Genomic DNA, 13,739 nt, shown 5'->3' with positions numbered 1-13,739 from the left:
AAAATGTCTTCATTTAGTCTGTTATAAAAATGTCTAGTATCTTTAGGATAAATTAGCCCTATCCTACAAGAGTGTTATACCTCGATTTAGTAGAGATTATTTTTCTTTAGTATGAATGAAATGACATCACAGCTTTTTTTTCTTAGTAACAATAGAAATCAGTCATTGAGCTTTTGTTCCTTTATATGAATAAAAATATTTAAAATGCTTATTAATTTTTCTTTGTTTTATCAAGTACTCTGGGAAACTAAGTTCATTTGAATATTGTTGGTAAACATTATCTGTGAATGGCTCTTATGCACCATTCAGGGCTCTCTTCATGCATTTTTTTCAAGCTATTAAATAAAACAAAATTGGGATAAAAATAAAGACAAAGATGAGACAAATTCAATGAAAAATGAATGGGAGTTTTGGATGCTTTATTATCTAGTTCTGAGTGACTTGTTTATGCAGCATAAGTAAAAACAAGCGTTTACCTCAGCTTAAATCTGCAAAAGCTTAAGGAAGGGTTGCAAGAAATTCAAATCCACTATCTCATTCACAGCACGAGCAGATTTAATTTCAGTAGACAAGATATAAATTAAGGTTATAAAATTAAATCTTACCTGGCAGTGGTTTGTTTGAAGCTCAGTAATTTGAACTCTGGCTGGAAATAGTAAGCTTCGAGACCCAAAATGCCTTCTCTACTTTCCTTTCATGTTTTATTTTGCCAGTGTTTTATTTCTTGCAGTGTCTTTATATCTGTATTCCTGATAATCCTGTAGCATTAGTTAGGATAGTATGCGGTAGATGAAGACTCCATTTGGATAGGATTATAGAACCAGAAGGGTGAGTTTTGCCTTTATCTGGTAACAGCAGTTGATCTGATCACAAACAATCTGAGTGTTGAGAACTTATTAAAGATTCATTGAATGCTTCAGCAATGAGAAATCCTGGTTGTTCCTATATGCATTTGACCCCCTGGAAAAGTTCTGCTTGTTCGTATTTCAGAATTACACACGCTTCCAAATCAAGCTGCTTTAAAAAACATTATCTGGACTAGAAGCATGGATGTTCTTGCACTCTTGCTTTCCTTTCTCCATACGAACTTTTCAGTCCATCAGCTTCCTTTCTGTAGAAGATGAAGGCATTTCTTCTGTCCTCCTCATGCTTTTGTAACCCATGCTTCTGGTACCCTGTTTTTTGAATAGTGAGGTAAAAATCCAGAAGGAAGTACGGCTTTATCATGTCTCTGGACGGTGAGCGTACTTGGCATGAATGAAGAGCTGATAGGAGCTATTCAAACCAGACAGCAAACTGATGGGATGACGCTGCCATACATAAAAAACTCATTAATTACTTCCCCTGCTGGACAGCAGTATATCCTGAAAGGAAGAAAGAAAGGAGCAGATGATGATATTCGTTTTGATAGGTGTTCTCTGTTTGAACAGCTTGTCATTGAGAAGAGAATCCAGGAAAAGCTGCAGCTTCAGAGTGTGATCAGGTAGAATGGGCAAGAGTTATTTGACAGACAGTTAAGTGACGTATTTTGGGAGGAAAAAGAGGGCTTAGCATGGAGGTAGCTGGAATAAGGTTCCAAAATGCTTTTGAAAATGTTCATTTTTTCCTGTTAGTCTTTTTGGCTAGAAGCTTTTTTTTTTTTTTTTTTTTTTTTTTAAGCTTTGCTAGGCATTATTCACAGACATGTTGCTGAGTTATTTTCTCATATGGTTTTCCCTAAAGATGGAAAATAATTTTTAAAAGTCTTTGAGATAGAAAGAGTATACTGTGAGTTTTAAATATTTGTAGCAGAGAAAAGGCTGCCTTTTTTTTTTTTCCTAAATGTATGCCTGTTTTTATACATCTTTTGGGCATATGCGTTTTGTTGCTTTGGAGTAAAGCATTATAAGTCCTCATTTGATACAAACTTTTAACAGGGTCTTCATTAAAGCTTTTCCTTAAGTTAGATGAAATCCATATTAGCTGTATAAAAGAATAGATTTTTAAATGTCAATTTCATAATTTTTGCACTTCAGTTTTTAAATTTAAAATTCAAATTTTTAAAACTGCACTTCAGTTTAAAATTTAAATTTTAAATTTAAACGTTTTTTCCCTGCCTGAGTTCTTTATGAGTGTATCTAGACAATATAATGTTTTTAAATTTTAAAAAATTATTATGGAACATTTCAAACTTACACAAAACTCTGAAAAATAATACAAAAATAATACATGAACCTCCAGAAACTCATTACCAAGATTCAACAATTGTCAGATTCAATTCTTTGCTAAAATATTTTAAAGCAAATCTCATTTCACCTATTTGTACTTTAGTATGTATATTTTTAAAGTATGGACACTTTTTCACATGACCCTGTGCCATTATCACACCTAACACATTGGCTATAATCCTCTGGAGTCATATAATATCCAGTTCATTTTAAATTCCTTGTGTCTCAGAAACTATGTCTTTATGTAGGTTTTTTCTGAGTGAGAATCCAGACAAAGTATACACTTTAATTGTTAGCCAATAGAATTTTAAACACTGACAGATGAACATGTATGAGAAAGAAGTGAATTTTAGTTTTATAGTGGTCTTTGACACACATTTGTAATAGGAATATTTATGCAAGAGAACATATCTTTAGAATATTTTCTTGAACTTTTCCCACTTAACATTGCATGATACTGAAAAGGATTGTAATTTCATATGGTAATGATTGGTCATTATATACTGGTCACTTCTATAATAAATACCCCAAGTTTTAAGCCACTGATTATTAAGCCATTTCAATGATTGAATGTGACTTAGAGTTCAGTGGAGATCCAAAATGAGAGAAGTAAAAATCTATCAAATGGGGCCATTGTGTTTATGAGGATCGATGACTATAATATTATATATGTTTTTCATTAATGTCAAGGTTTCTTCCCAATGGATTTTAATTTTTCTATGAAGTTTGAACTCCTAGCTCCTTTCTGGTAAAGCATAACATTTGGCTGTCCACTTAACTTTTCCAAGAATACAATAGCATGAGGTCCTGAAAATAACTTGTGTGCCACACCCTCACCTGTCGAAATTCATTCTCATTCAGGTTCTCTGTCTCTTCTCACTCTTATCTCATCTTTCAAATTGGCTGGATGAAAGAGAATGGGGGTGGTGAATATGGGGAGCCATTAAAGGGGTGTAGATGGAAATTATAATTTTCTGTTTCCATCTAAGCTCAAAGCCACTGCTGAGGACCGTGCTCCCATTTTTTATGGAGGGCAATAGAATACTTCTCTCCCAAGGTGCTCACTCTTGAGTATCTCTTGTCATACGTCATGTTATGGCATGAACATTTGGGAGCTTTGTGTTACACTTTATGTTCTCAAATTATACCTTGTCCTTTAAATCTTGCTGAATAAGGACTATATGTGCCAATCACTTTTTGAAAGCTTAGTAAATAGTTACTGATTATCACCATTTAATACAGATAAGCTGAATGGGAAAAGGTGAGCAAAAATGCTTCCATTCTCTTTCCAAGTTGTCTCTGAAATTTTTCTCAGTCATTTATAATACAATGTCAACATAGGAGAACACTTTGCAAATATGCAGGTTCTGCTGGAGAACTTTGTAGGGTGGGTGAAAAAGTGGTTATAGAGGGAACTGGAATAATAGATTATGAGTGTATTTTGGGTGCAAATATTTCATATCATTATCTCTCAGTACTTTAGCTATAAACTGAATTAATGGAAAAACATTGACTTAAGTACTGGCCTGTACAGTTCCAAATTATACTTCAGCCATTGTGGAAAGTAATTTTCTCCAAGACTTTGCTCTTGGTATTCCTGATGTTGTTCTTTTTTTTTAATAAAAAGCTGTATTTATTTTTACTTTCTACAGGATGAACTTTCTGCTTTGAAGCAAGGAGTTGTCTACATGAACTGTATTGTTCAGAGATCTAATAGGTTGAGTAGCTAGTTGGGTGGATGGCTTGTTTTTCCACCCTAAATATGAGGAGGAGGAGGAAAGTCTTAGGGATATGGACTTTTATGTTTTCTTTGATACATATAATAAAGCACATTTTTCTTTTGTTCAGATGTCTCAACTCTCATCTCCCTTTTTACAACTCTATGTATTCTCATATTTAAACTGAACTCTCCCATTGCCCACTGTAAAGTTGGCTAAACAACTTCAGAGGCATCACAGACTTTCAAATGAATTTATGTATAAGATAAATGATTTTTTCTTTTACAAGGTCCTTTTTTGCTAGAACATTTGGTCCATACCTAGAGTTATGCTCATAGCTGTTTACAAAATTATAAATACTTTTATAAAGAAAAAAAGTCTCTCCTTTATGCTCTCCAGTTTTTAGATGAGTAGGATTTGTGGTTAATGATTTCTTCCATGGCAACGGCTTCCTTTTAGGGCATTTCAATATGTATAATCTCAATTGAGTGTGATTATTTTTCAGTTAATAAATGAAGAGAAAAAGTTGCATTTTAAGAGAGTATTGTGGACTTATGGAAGCTGTTTCTAAAATAAATATGCTTTTAAATTCTTGTTGAAGAAATCAAACCTTTGTTGACTTACGTGAGTCATGCCATGCCATTTTTAGCACATTAATTGTAATAATAAACATTTATTGACTCCTTACTTGGTACAAGACCAGTGCACTTGGTTCTTTGGATTTATAATGCATAATTTTTAACAGCTCTGAGGCAGACTGTTATCATTCATCTTCTATAAAGAAGGAAACTGAGGTACACCAAGGTTAAGTAACTTGTTCAAGTTTACCCTGTTATTAAGATGTTGAACTGTGGTATGAACCCAGCCTAGGTGGTTTTAAAGTCCAGTAAGATTGCCTACTGAGAATAACCATCATTCAACTTAAGCGTGAGACTCCCAGTATAATGTTGAAAGAGTGGCGTCTCTCCAGCATGACTAACATTCTACAAAAATGAAATCTGCAGTTTCTTGGAGATCTTAGATAACCTGGAGAGTTGACTGTCTTTAATATATAGGGAATGTGTTCTTCTTGTTTCTATGTCTTGAATTTATAAAGGGTGATTTATTTTTCTTTCCAAAATTGTATTATGGCCTCTCAAATAGCAATGTGTTTTAAAATACTATTCATTTATGTTCTATTAAATTTTTTTTTAAAACTAAGTAGTGGTATGAGGGGGGATATGAACTAGAGTGGTTGTACTTTGCAATACAGTTGATTATTAGGAAACAGTTGCTGTCTTCATATGTATTACATTCGGGTAAAACGATTGCATTTTTTTTCTTTTGGCATCAGTTTGTTGGAGAAAAAAAGATTGCATTTTTATCTTCTAATTTAGACACTTTAAATGAATCTTTCATTTTTAAACTTCTTTAGTTTATTCCTCTACCATAGCACCCACTTTTTTCACTCATCTCAGGCCTTAACCTGTGACCTATTATTTGGCTCTTTCCTAATTTGTCATCCTTAATATTTTGACCTTATACTGAACTGCAGACAACCACTAGAGGTCTCCAGACCACACTTTAGAAAGCTCTGATTTTACAACCATACCCTAGTAAGTGGAACAGATACGTTCGGGGGGAGATTGGGTACTAATATTCCTCATTAAGTATTTGTGAAATGCTTCCTATATTCCAGGTTCTAGAACTATGCTATGTCCTGGCGGTAGACTTTTTTTTTTTTTAAGTAAGGACTTAGACCCTAAGAACCCTGTAGGCTAGTGGGGACACTAACATTTGAACGTGTGGTCACAAGATGTCACGTTAGGCACACCCACATCACATCCTTTTAGATCCTAATGACTGGAGTCTTTTAGATTTCTAAGTTTGTGAATGCCCCACTAATACTCTCTGTAGCGAGATCATTCCTGCTTTCTTGATGAGCCCTGATACTGCATCAATCTGGCAAGGAGCCATTCTCTGGGGGCAAATAGGATTATTTGGATGGGCTTTGGGGTTTTTTTGTTTGTTCGTTTTCTTTTTTTTTTTTTTTTTGAGACAGAGTCTCGCTCTGTCGCCCAGGCTGGAATGCAGTGGTGCGATCTCGGCTCACTGCAACCTCTGCCTCCCAGGTTCAAGCAATTCTCCTGCTTCAGCCTCCTGAGTAGCTGGGATTATAGGCGCCCACCATCATGCCTGTCTAATTTTTGTACTTTTAGTAGAGATGGGGTTTCACCATGTTAGCCAGACTGGTCTCAAACTCCTGACCTCAAGTGATCCGCCTGCCTTGGCCTCCCAAAGTGCTAGGATTATAGGCGTGAGCCACCGCGCCCGGCTGGGTTCTGGTGTTTTACTTTCTGATACCCTTCTCAGCAGCTCTGGCATCTGATCTTTAGGGAAGCACTTCATACAAAAGCCAGCCACTGCCTGTCTCAGTGAACAAGGCAGACCCCACAGAGATTTTAGACCTTCCATTTCCATTTTGCTTTATATCAGATAAATTTTAAAGAAAGGATCTATCTTCCTCTTGGATCTCTTGTCTGTTAGGGCTGTTTAAATAGACAGGTATCTCATAGAAACAGTCTTAGGGACATATTCTGATTAACCCATGCAAAGCACCTAGCACAGTGCCTGGCACAGAGAGGGCAGATGCTTAGTAGATGTCAAGAGTTGTCATAATTATTATGGAATTTAATTTAATTTTACTGCTGGAAGGGACTGTAGAGATAATTTAGTCCTGCCATCCATTTTACACAATAAATTTTAGTGCTCTTTTTCCTTCTCATATAGGCATCTAACTGTTAGGAGTTGTTCTCTTCAGTTATCCCATGTTAGGAAGGCCACAATTTTGATTTAGTCATTATCCGCTTAATGATTATACTTCTGTATGAGAATTTTTTTTTTTTTTTTTTTTTTTTTTTTTTTTTTTTTTGAGAACGAGTTTCGCTGTGTCGCCCAGGCTGGAGTGCAGTGGCGCGATCTCGGCTCACTGCAAGCTCCGCCTCCTGGGTTCACACCATTCTCCTGCCTCAGCCTCCCAAGTAGCTGTGACTACATGTATGTGCCTTCATGCCTGGCTACATACACATTTTAGTGGGAACATGAATAAATGAAAATGATCTTGATCATAATTGTATGCTATGCAGAAGATAAGGGGGGAATTATAGACAGACAGATATTATGCAGGGAAATTTAGTGATTTGTTATGTTTTTAAAGGATTTGAGTCTGATGTGGCATGTTAAAAAATTTAGGAATTAGCAAGAGGTTATGATGATGATCCAGGGAAAATATGATGATTCCTTAGACTAAGGTAATAATAGATGGAAAGAAAGGGACAGATTACAGGAATATACAGAGGTATAAATGATAGTTTGCTGATGAATTAGGTATCTAGGTATGATGGGGAGAGAAGTGTTGAGAATGACCCTGAGAACTCTGGCTTGAGTAACTGTGGCTGGAGATGCAATATGCTGAAATTGGGGAAGCTGGATGAGGAACAGGTTTGGGAAAGGGAAATCAAGAGAGAATATTGAACAAGATGGGCTGTGGATCTGGTAATTCTTACCTTCTGAAATACTTGAGGCATGTGAAGGAATACTTTACAATTGACATATGTGAGAAGCAATACACTGTTACATGTTATTTTTTTAAATAGGTCCTTTTTTCCCCCATTCCTTTGTTTTTCATTACGGTTTTTAACCTTACTTTGTTTTTTCCTGTCTCTGCCACTTACATGTAACACCAATCATAACTTCTCTCCGTGCAAGTATTTCAGTGAGATAGGAAAGGAATTAATGAATCAATCTTTCTGTGTGGGGTGTGGTTGGAAATAGCCACTCTAGGAATAAATATGCTGTGCTCTGCCCCCCAAACCTGGTTGAAAATAATTTCTTTAAAATCATCTATGAATGATTTTTGATATGGAACATTTCTTTAATTTTCTAAAAAGATTTCTTGGTTATACTGGTTCATAGGAACACACTCTCCTCAGATGATCAGGCACTTCGTTTTCTTTTTTTTTTTTTTTTTTTTTTTTTTGAGACAGAGTCTCACTCTGTCGCCCAGGCTGGAGTGCAGTGGCGCGATCTCGGCTCACTGCAAGCTCCGCCTCCCGGGTTCACGCCATTCTCCTGCCTCAGCCTCCCGAGTAGCTGGGACTACAGGTGCCCGCCACCACGCCCGGCTAATTTTTTGTGTTTTTAGTAGAGACGGGGTTTCACCGTGTTAGCCAGAATGGTCTCGATCTCCTGACCTCGTGATTCGCCCACCTTGGCCTCCCAAAGTGCTGGGATTACAGGCATGAGCCACCTCACCCAGTGCAGACACTTTATTTTCTAGATGAGAATGCTGAGCATCTCAGAGGTTGGCATTCACCCAAGGATGCAGATCTTGTAACTAGTTAAAAGTCGATACGTTAGAACAGTAGAACCTTAAGAATCAAAATTCTAGCCAATAATTCCTCCTATGAGACATACCATTTACTTATCAGTTTCTTTAATAAGAGAAATTCTTATGCATAATGAGAAATGAAATATATTTTATGGCTGGGCATGGTGGCTCACGCCTGTAATCCCAGCAGGTGTGAGATTTAGGAGGCTGAGGCAGGAGAATTGCTTGAGCTCAGGAGTTCGAGACCAGCCTGGGCAACATAGTGAGACTCTGTCTCTGTAAAATATCAAAAAATTGTCCAGGCATGATGGTGTGTACCTGTAATCCCAGCTACTCGGAAGGCTGAGGCAGGAGGATTGCTTGAACCCAGGAGGTCGAGGCTTCAGTGAGCCAAGTTCTCACCAGTGCACTCTAGCCTGGACAGCAGAGCAAGACTCTGTCTCAAAAGAAAAAAGAAAAAGAAATATTTTTACCAGAAATACATTTGATAAGGTAAAAATAGTTACATTATTTATGTAAAGACTTCATATTTAAAATTTGATAAGATTGGTACTTTAGTCCTCAGTTGAACAAACAGTTTAGCACCTAAAACATGTGCATTGTTCTAGACACTGGATATATGAGCATGACTAAGGGATAAACTCTGCTCCCACACAGCTGAATGGACCGCGGAAGACAAGCATATCAAGGAATAATGTTATCTTTATGTTATACTCAAGTCGCTATACAGCAGAAGATAAAATGGGGCTCACATGAAGGAGGAAATAGCTAGTTTAATCTGGAGATGTCAGGGAGGTATGTTAAGCTGTGTCAGCTGTAGACATTGGTTAGGTGCTCTTTGAACCCCTTCAAAAGAGTTCATTTTATTTTTATTTTTTAAGAAGTTCTTTTTTTTAATCCCAAAGCATTAATAAGATACTTATGTGCTAAGTGATGAATGTAGTTCTGAGATTAAATATAAAACATTTTTAAAATATTTCTAGTGGAAGTGGCAACAAAATCTCTCTCTCTCTCTCTCACACACACAACACACACACACACGAGACACAGACTCTCTTCCTCATTTTAACCTAAGTATTCTAGTTGCCATAACAACCTGATTGTGGTAGTGCATTTGCTGCTATGGTTGAGGTTGTGTCAGCAGTTCCATTATAAGCTGCAATTTTCAGGATCCTAAAATTCAATGTCACATTCACAGACGTGACATTTAAAATTCTATTTATTAATTTGATTTTGCCTCATGCTTAAATCTCCAAAAGGCATTGACCTCTCCCCCTGTGCTGAAAGAGGTTCGTGTATCTGGTTTGTAGGCTTCTGCTTTTGTTAATTTGTATTTTATTTCTAAAAGAAACCTCCATATCTGATCACGGTCCCTTATTTTATAAAGAGGAAGTTGAGGCTCTGAAGGGTCATCCGACAAGGCCCTTGCCTTGCCTTTTCACCCTTAGGCAAGTCATCCGACACGAATCCAGTAGTTATACACTACTGCACAGATGTTGGAGTTCAGTGGCATCTTCTGCTTAGTGATGTTTTTGATTTTTGGTTAAATCTCACCATGACATGCCTTTCATTTTTTTGCATATGTGTCTCTTTGTGTATTTGATATATATCCTTTCTGCTGTAATAGGATTCATTCTGTTGTCACATTCCATGTTGTAGAAATTGGTTTATATGTCTTTCTGATCTCCACTAAACGTTTCTCCAGGGTAGACACCATGCTTTACTCCTTATAATGTCTCCAGCATTTGCTGAGAAGGACCAGCTCTGCCTCCTCTTCTTCCTCGTTCTCATTCCAGTTCACCTGGTGTCTGACCTTTCTTGTTGCTTATTCTTAGTGCTTGAACCTAATGACCTGTCTTTAGAGGGGTTGGGGAGTGGGCACTGGTGTGGAGAGAGGAGGGGGCCTCCCTCTGCCCCTAGGTAGAGTCTGGGGGTTCAAGAGTGTGGTGCTCGGAGGGCTATGGCTATGACTGAAGTGTAGGGAGTAGTGAGAGAGGTTAAAGAGGCATTAAGGGGCCTGAAGGTAGACTTGGATTGGACTTCCTGCTGAGGAATCTGAACTTTGTTTAGTAGACAAGAGGGACCTATTGAAAGGTCATAAGCAGGGAAGTGATATGAAGAGATTACCTAAAACTGCTGCACATTCAGGTCCTTGAAGACTGAAATTCGTATTTAAAAAAGTATGGCATAAACAGGTAATTATTCTATCTAGTAGGAAAATGTAAGGTCAGAGAGGAGAGTAATTAATTCTGCCTTGGGTTTGATGACAGGAAGCTTTCACAAATGAGGTGATGTTTCAACTGGATACTAAAGGGTAGCTAGGATTGCACCATGCAGGGAAGTTGGGAAGATGGAATTTTAGACGTGAGAAGCAGCTTGAGTGAAGAATCAGAGGCAAGCATATGCTTGGCATATTGGGAAAATCTTGACCCTGCTGATGTTGATGTGGTGCCAGGTCTGAGGAGACCAATGGCTTGAGAGGAGACTGGATAGGATGGGCTGAAAGCAGGTCACCAAAGGTTTTTGGTGCCCCACTATGGAGTGAAGATTTTATGCTCTAGATAGAGGGGAGCTGTGAGCTTTAAAAAAGCAGCTAAAAGACACGAGCACACCTATGGCATAGAGAAATAGCTCTAGCAGTTTAGAGGATGAATTGGAAAATGAGAGCTGGATGCTATTCTACCAGACCAGGTAAAATAAACAAAGGTGCCTGTTGAACTAGGATGGTGGGATTAGAAAGAGTATAAATAGAGGATTAGGAATGAAGAAGAGGCATGTTTCAAAGGTTAATTTAGCAGATGTGATTGGCTGTATGGGGAAAAGTGTATAAAGAAGTTTTCTTTCTTTTCTTTTCCTTTTTTTTTTTTTCTTGAGATAGGGTCTTGCTGTCTTGCCCAGGCTGGAGTGCAGTGGCATGATCTGGGCTCACTGTAACCTCTGCCTCCTGAGTTCAAGTGATTCTCCTCCCTCAGCCACCTGAGTAGCTGGGATTACAGATGTGTGCTACCATGCCTGGCTGATTTTTTTGTTGTTGTTGTATTTTTAGTAGAGATGGGGTTTCGCCATGTTGGCCAGGCCAGTCTTGAACTCCTGGCCTTAAGCGATCCACCCACCTCTGCCTCCCAAAGGGCTGGGACTGCAGGCGTGAGCCACAGTGCATGGCGAGAAGAAGTTTTCTTATTATTCAAGCGTCTAGGTGAATTATTTTGCAATTTATCAAGGTAAGGAAAACAGGAGGAGAAGACAGATTTGGTTAAAGATAATATTTTGAAAAGTTCATCCACATTTTAAAATTTGGGGTATAATTTACATATAAAATGCTCAAATCTTAACAGTTTGATAAGCTTTGACAATTTATGTACACCTGTGTAACCACTTCTACAAACAAGTTATAGAATAGTGGTTCTTAATATTTAGTGTGCATTAGAAACACCTGGATGGCTTGACGGACCGTAAGTTGCTACTCCCACTCAGAGTTTCAGATTTAGTAGATCTGGGGTGAGGACTGAGAATTCAACTTTCTAACAATTCCCAAGTGCCACTGGGTTCAGGGACCACACTTTGGAAACTGCTGATATAAAATACCACTGTCACTCCAGAAAGGCCCTCTTCACCCTTTTTGCCTCTCTCCCCAGGCAATCACAGTTCTGATTTCTAGCACTGTGATTAGTTTGCCTATTCCTGGACTGCACAAATGGAATTATTCAGTATTCGCTTATGTCTGGCTTTTTTTTTTTTCATACAATATAATGATTTTGAGATTCCCCTATGTTGTTGCATGGGGTTTATTCCTTTTTACCCGCTGACTAGCATTCCATCATGTGACTAGATCACAATTTGTTTATCATTTCTCCTGTTGACAGACATTTGATTTAGTTTCAATTTTGGGATATTATAAATAAAACTTCCGTGAATATTAATATACAAGTCTTTTTGTGGTTATATGTTTTCATTTCTCTTGGGTAAATACGTAGGAGTAGGATTGTTGGGTCCTAGGGTAAATTTATGCTTAATTTTATAAGAAACTGCCAAAATAGTTTTCCATAGTGGTTGTAATGTAGTCAAATTGTGATTAAATTTTTATTGACTCTAGTGAAGATCCTAGACATTGACTAGACTGAAGGACTTTTTGTCAAAGAAGAAAGGTCTCTAATGGACAAGGAAGCTTGGCAGTGTTACCCTTTGGGATATACGTGTGGCTAAATAACAGTGACCGTGGAACTCTTCCAAATCCTAAGAGAATTGAAATCTATGTTTAGATTTAAAAAATGTAGTTCATTATTCATTCAAAGAACAGTTAATAAGCACTTACCATATATTAGCCATAGAAGGGCACGTGGCTCCCAGTACTGTTCCTGAGGAGCTCACAGGTAAAACAAATTATTAAACTTTAAGAAGGTGCAAGGCAGTGCCTTAAATCTAAACTATCTTACTCCTAGTTTATCTGAATGTTATTTTTCCAGAAATTCTAAATATCAGACAATGAGGACATAAACCAAAAAACCCAAAAAAAACTCCCGAACATTTCACATCACTGGGGAAAAAGATGGATTTGTCAGGAAAATGGTGTTGGTCCAAGTGGAGTTCACCATCTGGGAAAAAAATTGGTATTCAAACCTCGTATCAGGATGATGTCAACATGTGCCAAAGAGTTTAATGCAAAACAAAAACTTAATGTAATAAAAATATTAGAACAAATTATAGACATACTCTTTTCTAATGTCAGAATAGGGAAGGTGTTTTAAAATATTGGACAAAATCCAGAAATACAAGGCTGTTAAATCTGATTATCTAAAAGTGACGAATTTCTGCATGGCAAAACCCACCATAACCAAGGCCAAAAGATAAATGATTATGTGTGTGTGGGCAGGGGAGATAGGATGGTGACTCATTACAGAGAACTAGTTTCCAATATATATGATGTGTTTTAACAACCCTATTAAAACTGGGCAAAGGCTATGAGCAGACTGTTCACAGAAAATGAAATGCAAATGGCTCTTAAACATGTGAAAAGATGCTCAATGCACTCATAGGAGAGATGCAAATTAATTACACTGAAATACATATTTTCAGTTATCAGATTGACAGATCAGAAAGTTTGATTAGACTTTGCACTGGCAAGAGTGAGGATGCGCAGTGTTGGAGAAGAAGGGCATTTCAAGTTGAGGGGAATTGGAGGAGCGGGGAGATGGAAATGGGAAAGGTAGGGCCAGCACATTAGAGCAGGACAGGTGAGCTAATGTAGGGGCAGGCGTGTTGACTTTAGCAAGGAGCGACAGCTGGCGCTCTAGTGTCATGGGAGAAGCAGGGAAACTAGATAGCTACACGCAATAACTACAAATGCTGGTCACCGCGGAGGCAGACGGCCCTACAGATAACAGCCCGAGGGAGTCACTTACCCCAAAAGGTCACATTATTCCCAGCATTTTCCATTTAAGGAAGCAT

The 13,739-nt window shown here is 37.7% G+C and overlaps 2 protein-coding genes across 13 annotated transcripts in view; one reads left to right on the top strand and one right to left on the bottom strand.

Moving 5' to 3' along the window:
• CHRM5 (cholinergic receptor muscarinic 5) overlaps positions 1-1,259 on the bottom strand; it is a 98,962-nt gene extending 97,703 nt beyond the window's left edge. For both annotated transcript variants that reach the window (NM_012125.4, NM_001320917.2), the window contains exon 1: positions 606-1,259. The gene's annotated coding sequence lies outside the window, so the exon portion shown is untranslated. The remainder of the gene's footprint in view (positions 1-605) is intronic.
• Positions 1-13,739, top strand: part of AVEN (apoptosis and caspase activation inhibitor) — a 223,545-nt gene that overhangs the window by 105,570 nt on the left and 104,236 nt on the right. The gene's annotated exons all lie outside the window — the stretch shown is intronic.

Source organism: Homo sapiens, chromosome 15 (genome assembly GCF_000001405.40).
Source record: "Homo sapiens chromosome 15, GRCh38.p14 Primary Assembly".
NCBI lineage: Eukaryota > Metazoa > Chordata > Mammalia > Primates > Hominidae > Homo > Homo sapiens.
The sequence above is the reverse complement of the archived record's forward strand: the minus strand, read 5'-3'. Positions and strand labels throughout refer to the sequence as shown.